The sequence below is a fragment of the Homo sapiens genome, chromosome 18 (genome assembly GCF_000001405.40).
Source record: "Homo sapiens chromosome 18, GRCh38.p14 Primary Assembly".
In the NCBI taxonomy this organism is placed as follows: domain Eukaryota; kingdom Metazoa; phylum Chordata; class Mammalia; order Primates; family Hominidae; genus Homo; species Homo sapiens.
Window position 1 is genome coordinate 40114468 of NC_000018.10, and position 8178 is coordinate 40122645.

Sequence of the window (8178 nt, forward strand, 5' to 3'; positions counted from 1 at the left end):
GTCCAGTCCATCATTGTTGGACATTTGGGTTGGTTCCAAGTCTTTGTTATTGTGAGTAGTGCCGCAATAAACATACGTGTGCATGTGACTTTATAGCACCATGATTTATAATCCTTTGGGTATATACCCAGTAATGGGATGGCTGGGTCGAATGGTATTTCTAGTTCTAGATCCCTGAGGAATCGCCACACTGACTTCCACAATGGTTGAACTAGTTTACAGTCCCACCAACAGTGTAAAAGTGTTCCTATTTCTCCACATCCTCTCCAGCACCTGTTGTTTCCTGACTTTTTAATGGTTGCCATTCTAACTGGTGTGTGATGCTATCTAATGGTGGTTTTGATTTGCATTTCTCTGATGGCCAGTGATGATGAGCATTTTTTCATGTGTTTTTTGGTTGCATAAATGTCTTCTTTTGAGAAGTGTCTGTTGATATCCTTCGCCCACTTTTTGATGGGTTTGTTTTTTTCTTGTAAATTTGTTTGAGTTCATTGTAGATTCTGTATATTAGCCCTTGGTCAGATGAGTAGGTTGCAAAAATTTTCTCCCATTCTGTAGGTTGCCTGTTCACTCTGATGGTGGTTTCTTTTGCTGTGCAGAAGCTCTTTAGTTTAATTAGATCCTATTTGTCAATTTTGGCTTTTGTTGCCATTGCTTTTGGTGTTTTAGACATGAAGTCCTTGCCCATGCCTATGTCCTGAATGGTATTGCCTAGGTTTTCTTCTAGGATTTTTATGGTTTTAGGTCTAACATGTAAGTCTTTAATCCATCTTGAATTAATTTTTGTATGAGGTGTAAGGAAGGGATCCAGTTTCAGCTTTCTACGTATTGCTAGCCAGTTTTCCCAGCACCATTTATTAAATAGGGAATCCTTTCCCCATTGCTTGTTTTTGTCAGGTTTGTCAAAGATCAGGTAGTTGTAGATATGTGGCATTATTTCTGAGGGCTCTGTTCTGTTCCATTGGTCTATATCTCTGTTTTGGTACCAGTACCATGCTGTTTTGGTTACTGTAGCCTTGTAGTATAATTTGAAGTCAGGTAGCATGATGCCTCCAGCTTTGTTCTTTTGGCTTAGGATTGACTTGGCAATTTGGGCTCTTTTTTGGTTCCATATGAACTTTAAAGTAGTTTTTTCCAATTCTGTGAAGAAAGTAATTGGTAGCTTGATGGGGATGGCATAGAATCTATAAATTACCTTGGGCAGTATGGCCATTTTCACGATATTGATTCTTCCTACCCATGAGCATGGAATGTTCTTCCATTTTTTTGTATCGTCTTTTATTTCCTTGAGCAGTGGTTTGTAGTTCTCCTTGAAGAGGTCCTTCACATCCCTTGTAAGTTGGATTCCCAGGTATTTTATTCTCTGAAGCAATTGTGAATGGGAGTTCACTCATGATTTGGCTCTCTGTTTGTCTGTTATTGGTGTATAAGAATGCTGGTGATTTTTGCATATTGATTTTGTATCCTGAGACTTTGCTGAAGTTGCTTATCAGCTTGAGGAGATTTTGGGCTGAGACAAGGAGGTTTTCTAGATATACAATCATGTCATCTCCAAACAGGGACAATTTGACTTCCGCTTTTCCTAATTGAATGCCCTTTATTTCCTTCTCCTGCCTGATTGCCCTGGCCAGAACTTCCAACACTATGTTGAATAGGAGTGGTGAGAGAGGGCATCCCTGTCTTGTGCCAGTTTTCAAAGGGAATGCTTCCAGTTTTTGTCCATTCAGTAGGATATTGGCTGTGGGTTTGTCATGGATAGCTCTTATTATTTTGAGATACGTCCCATCAATACCTAATTTATTTAGAGTTTTTAGCATGAAGCATTGTTGAATTTTGTCAAAGGCCTTTTCTGCATCTATTGAGATAATCATGTGGTTTTTGTCTTTGGTTCTCTTTCTATGCTGGATTATGTTTATTGATTTTCGTTATGTTGAAGCAGCCTTCCATCCCATGGATGAAGCCCACTTGATCATGGTGGATAAGCTTTTTGATGTGTTGCTGGATTTGGTTTGCCAGTATTTTACTGAGGATTTTTGCATCAATGTTCGTCAAGGATATTGGTCTAAAATTCTCTTTTTTGGTTGTGTCTCTGCCAGGCTTTGGTATCAGGATGATGCTGGCCTCATAAAATGAGTTAGGGAGGATTCCCTCTTTTTCTATTGATTGGTACCAGCTCCTCCTTGTACCTCTGGTAAAATTTGGCTGTGAATCCATCTGGTCCTGGACTTTTTTTGGTTGGTAAGCTATTAATTATTGCCTCAATTTCAGAGCCTGTTATTGGTCTATTCAGAGATTCAACTTCTTCCTGGTTTAGTCTTGGGAGGGTGTACGTGTCGAGGAATTTATCCATTTCTTCTAGATTTTCTAGTTTATTTGCGTAGAGGTGTTTATAGTATTCTCTGATGGCAATTTGTATTTCTGTGGGATCAGTGGTGATATCCCCTTTGTCATTTTTTATTGTGTCTATTTGATTCTTCTCTCTTTTCTTCTTTATTAGTCTTGCTAGTGGTCTAACAATTTTGTTGATCTTTTCAAAAAACCAGCTCCTGGATTCCTTGATTTTTTGAAGGGTTTTTTGTGCCTCTATTTCCTTCAATTCTGCTCTGATCTTAGTTATTTCTTGCCTTCTGCTAGCTTTTGAATGTGTTTGCTCTTGCTTTTCTAGTTCTTTTAATTGTGATGTTAGGGTGTCAATTTTCGATCTTTCCTGCTTTCTTTTGTGGGCATTTAGTGCTATAAATTTCCCTCTACACACTGCTTTGAATGTGTCCCAGAGATTCTGGTATGTTGTGTCTTTGTTCTCGTTGGATTCAAAGAATATCTTTATTTCTGCCTTCATTTTGTTATGTACCCAGTAGTCATTCAGGAGCAGGTTGTTCAGTTTCCATGTAGTTGAGCAGTTTTGAGTGAGTTTCTTAATCCTGAGTTCTAATTTCATTGCACTGTGGTCTGAGCGACAGTTTGTTATAATTTCTTTTCTCTTACATTTGTTGAGGAGTGTTTTACTTCCAACTATGTGGTCAATTTTGGAATAGGTGTTGTGTGGTGCTGAAAACAATGTATATTCTGTTGATTTGGGGTGGAGAGTTCTGTAGATGTCTATTAGGTCTGCTTGGTGCAGGGCTGAGTTCAATTCCCAGATATCCTTCTTAACTTTCTGTCTCGTTGATCTATCTAGTGTTGACAGTGGGGTGTTAAAATCTCCCATTATTATTGTGTGGGAATCTAAGTCTCTTTGTAGGTCACTAAGGACTTGCTTTATGAATCTGGGTGCTCCTGTATTGGGTGCATATATATTTAGGATAGTTAGTTCTTGTTGTTGAATTGATCCCTTTACCATTATGTAATGGCTTTCTTTGTCTCTTTTGATCTTTGTTGGTTTAAAGTCTGTTTTATCCGAGACTAGGATTGCAACCCCTGCCTTTTCTTGTTTTCCATTTACTTGGTAGATCTTCCTCCATCCCTTTATTTTGAGCCTATGTGTGTCTCTGTACATGAGATGGGTTTCCTGAATACAGCACATTGATGGGTCTTGACTCTTTATCCAATTTGCCAGTCTGTGTCTTTTAATTGGAGCATTTAGCCCATTTACATTTAAGGTTAGTATTGTTATGTGTGAATTTGTTCCTGTCATTATGATGTTAGCTGGTTATTTTGCTCTTTAGTTGATGCAGTTTCTTCCTAGCCTTGATGGACTTTACGATTTGGCATGTTTTTGCAGTGGCTGGTACCGGTTGTTCCTTTCCATGCTTCATGCTTCCTTCAGGAGCTCTTTTAGGGCAGGCCTAGTGGTGACAAAATCTCTCAGCATTTGCTTGTCTGTAAAGTATTTTATTTCTCCTTCACTTTTGAAGCTTAGTTTGGCTGGATATGAAATTCTGGGTTGAAAATTCTTTTCTTTAAGAATGTTGAATATTGGCCCCCACTCTCTTCTGGCCTGTAGAGTTTCTGCCAAGAGATCAGCTATTAGTCCGATGGGCTTCCCTTTGTGGGGAACCCGACTTTTCTCGCTGGCTGCCCTTAACACTTTTTCCTTCATTTCAACTTTGGTGAATCTGACAATTATGTGTCTTGGAATTGCTCTTCTCAAGGAGTATCTTTGTGGTGTTCTCTGCATTTCCTGAATTTGAATGTTGGCCTGCCTTGCTAGATTGGGGAAGTTCTCCTGGATAATATCCTGCAGAGTGTTTTCCAACTTGGTTCCATTCTCCCCATCACCTTCAGGTCCATCAATTAGATGTAGATTTGGTCTTTTCACATAGTCCCATATTTCTTGGAGGCTTTGTTCGTTTCTTTTTATTCTTTTTTCTCTAAACTTCTCTTCACACTTCATTTCACTCATTTTGTCTTCCATCACTGATACCCTTTCTTCCAGTTGATCGCATCGGTTACTGAGGCTTTTGCATTCGTCATGTAGTTCTCATGCCTTGGTTTTTAGCTCCATCGGGTCCTTTAAGGACTTCTCTGCATTGGTTATTCTAGTTAGCCATTCGTCTAATTTTTTCTCAAAGTTTTTAGCTTCTTTGCCATTGGTTCAAACTTCCTCCTTTAGCTCGGAGTAGTTTGATCTTCTGAAGACTTCCTCTCTCAACTCGTCAAAGTCATTCTCCTTCCAGCTTTGTTCCATTGTTGGTGAGGAGCTGTGTTCCTTTGGAGGAGGAGAGGCGCTCTGTTTTTTAGAGTTTCTGGTTTTTCTGCTCTGTTTTTTCTGCATCTTTGTGGTTTTATCTACCTTTGGTCTTTGATGATGGTGATGTAAAGATGGGTTTTTGGTATGGATGTCCTTTCTGTTTGTTAGTTTTCATTCTAACAATCAGGACCCTCAGCTGTAGGTCTGTTGGAGTTTACTGGAGGTCCACTCCAGACCCTTTTTGCCTGGGTATCAGCAGCGGTGGCTGCAGAACAGTGGATATTGGTGAACCACAAGTGCTACTGCCTGATCATTCCTCTGGAAGTTTTGTTTCAGAGGAGTACCCGGCCGTGTGAGGTGTCAGTCCGCCCCTACTGGGGGATGCCTCCCAGTTAGGCCACTCGGGGGTCAGGGACCCACTTGAGGAGGCAGTCTGCCTGTTCTCAGATCTCAAGCTGCGTGCTAGGAGAACCTCTACTCTCTTCAAAGCTGTCAGACAGGGACATTTAAGACTGCAGAGATTATTGCTGTCTTTTGTTTGTGCCCTGCCCCTAGAGGTGGAGCCTACTGAGGCAGTCAGGCCTCCTTGAGCTGTGGTGGGCTCCACTGAGTTTGAGCTTCCCGGCCACTTTGTTTACCTACTCAAGCCTGAGCAATGGCGGATGCCCCTCCCCTAGCCTCGCTGCCGCTTTGCAGTTTGATCTCAGACTGCTGTGCTAGCAAATGAGTGAGGCTCCGTGGGCGTAGGACCCTCCGAGCCATGTGCGGGATATAATCTCCTGGTGTACCGTTTGTTAAGCCCATTGGAAGAGCACAGTATTAGGGTGGGAGTGACCCAATATTCCAGGTGCCGTCTGTCACCCCTTTCTTCAACTAGGAAAGGGAATTCCCTGACCCCTTGCACTTCCCGGGTGAGGCAATGCCTCGCCCTGCTTAAGCTCACGAACAGTGCACTGCACCCACTGTCCTGCACCCACTGTCCAGCACTCCCCCGAGAGATGAACCTGGTACCTCAGCTGGAAATGCAGAAATCACCCATCTTCTGTGTCACTCACGCTGGGAGCTGTAGACTGGAGCTGTTCCTATTCAGCCATCTTGGCTCCACCCCAAAGCAGTTTATTTTTCTAATTGCCTCCAGCTTAAAACAATGAAGTTGTGTAGTAGAGAATGCAAGGCCTAGCATATTTGTGCAGGAGGAAACATGGAAGCTAATTAGACTGTTAATGGTAAAGATTAAACCCTGGTACTGACGAGTCTCTCAAGAGCCAAATACATCAGCCCCCTTATTTTATAGAGCAAAGACTCAGGATCTCCAAGGCAATGTGATTCACCCATATTTATAACTGGTTGGGGAAAAGGCAATGCTAGAATATTGGGTTCCTCCCATCCAGTCCAGGACTCTCTCTTTCTACTATAAGACATGTGAATATTGAGGCCAGCATTCTGGAAGCAATCTGTTGTATTTGGTATTTTGCCGATGCAGATTACAGTGAAAGGATTTGGATCACTTCAGGATGAATACTCAAATCCCAGTAAGTGGTCAATTTTACCAATGCATTTAAGTAAGTAAGCTGAGCACCAAAAATAGAAAAATGCCCAATTATGAAAATCTTTGTAGACAATGCATTTATCTACATTTGCAAACAATGTAGATAATTTCAGGTAAACTTAGAAAGAAATAAAGTCAAATTTTCACCCTTCTCAAGTTATGGGGTTTTTTTGGTTTTTAGTTTGTTGCATTTTGGTTTGATTTGGCTTTAAACTATTAATTCCTTGCCCCTGCTTGTTCTTTAGAGAAACCTTCAGAATGCAGCTGCAGCCTTCTCCCCTTGTCTCCCTTGCAGCTGCAGCCTCACAAAAGGAGGAAATCATTCCCAAACCATCAGAGAAATCCCTCTTCTTAGAAATGGGAGCTGGGTGTATTTCTCTGAAGTCTTGTGGAAGTGGTCAACTGCTGTCACTAAGGATTATCTGGTCTCTGAATAACCAGGGGCGTAAAGCAAAGTGGGAGCAGGAAAGACTGATCCTCCCCAACAAGCCTGCTCAGGAAAGGGAACTACATCCTGTAGCCTTCTTTCATCTTCTCAGCCACACCCAAACGTGGAGAGTCAGCTGCATTAACACAGTCATCTTCAAAGGCAGAGGACAGCAAAGCAAGAAGGGAGAAAAAAGGAAAAAATCTTAATGACTAATTGGCAAACCATCTGTCTATATGTATTATCTCTCTATGTTACCTTCACTATTTTCCTTTTTAAGTTCTCATTGATTTAAGCCTGAAGACATTAAAGTGTGTAATATATTCTAGTCTGCTCCTCAGCAAAGCCCTCCTAGTGGCTCAGAGATGGAAGGTTCTGTACCCCATACCCTTAGCTTAACAATAATGACAACCACGAAGTCCCACAAGGTTAGGAGACTTGGCCAAGATCCTGTGGCTCCTTAGAAACAGAGCCAGTGCTAGAAACTCGATATTCTGACTTCTTCCTCACTCAGCATTCTTGCTCAGATAATATCTTATTAAAAAATTATCTTCCTTTTACAGTATGGTATTTTATGCCTTTTATAGCTGCCTTTCTCACTTTCCTAAGTTTAGATCAGAAGCCTTGGTTTTTATCCTTTTCTATCAAAACTTGCAATTGGAAAATGTTTTATATCTGTCTTTTACCACTTAAGATGAATGAGAATCCCTGCACCACCTTCCCTGAGGGTGTATTCGTGTTCAGCCATATATTCTGAATTGAGGAATGGAAGATGTGTGTCCTGTTAAAAGATCTGTCATCAGGGCAAATTGGGGGTAGAATTGGAATAGTTTTTGACACTCTAGTTTCTGAGAAACTATCTATTATTAGCGATACAAAATGCACACATCACCTCACCTTCCAGAAAACTATGTGAGAAAATGGTGAACAACTGTAAGATGAGGAAGTTTTGTAAGGTGGTAACCTCCTAGAAAATTCCACCTATGTGGAAAAGCATTTACCAGTACCAATGTAGAGTATTTCTACTTTTCCAGAGGAGACAGTAAGAGATTTCTTTCTTTTCCCTTTCTTTTTTTTTTCTTAAAAACAACAACAACAAAAAAACTGAACAAATGTATCTTGAGTGTCATTGCTGTTGTATCATTTTGGGGTCTTTCTACTTTGCCTCAGACCTCCTGGGGACTCAGAAGAGGGAACATCTGTTTGTCTGTTTTGCTCCCTTTTGCAGAACTTGCTAAATAGGGAAGAAGCTGAATTTTTAATGTTCCCAAAGCTCTGTGTGAAACGATGATATTGGGTTGCAATTGAAGAAGAGTTTTAAGACAGGCAATTTTATACCAACTTACATAATGCATGCCAAAGTGACAGGCTGTTATGGAATCGCATCTGCAATTGTGAGCTGCATAATACAGCAATAGTATTTGAATATTATCAGATTGTAAATCGTAGAAATGTGGTATTAAGTGTTTGTGAGGAGTGAATTATGCCCTCTTCTATCGCAGAGACCCTAGGAGCAGTGAAAGCAGCCAGTGAATGGTGGGTTTCTCTGATTTATTGACAGGGCTAGTTGAC

The 8178-nt window shown here is 40.9% G+C and overlaps 1 annotated feature.

Moving 5' to 3' along the window:
* Positions 6262-7461: an enhancer, noted in NCBI's record as "P300/CBP strongly-dependent group 1 enhancer chr18:37700693-37701892 (GRCh37/hg19 assembly coordinates)". NCBI's record gives its function as "activates an origin of replication core promoter dependent on BRD2, BRD4, P300/CBP, MED14 and CDK7 cofactors, with strong dependence on P300/CBP, by STARR-seq in HCT116 cells {active_cell/tissue: HCT116}" and the evidence as "EXISTENCE:reporter gene assay evidence [ECO:0000049][PMID:35650434]".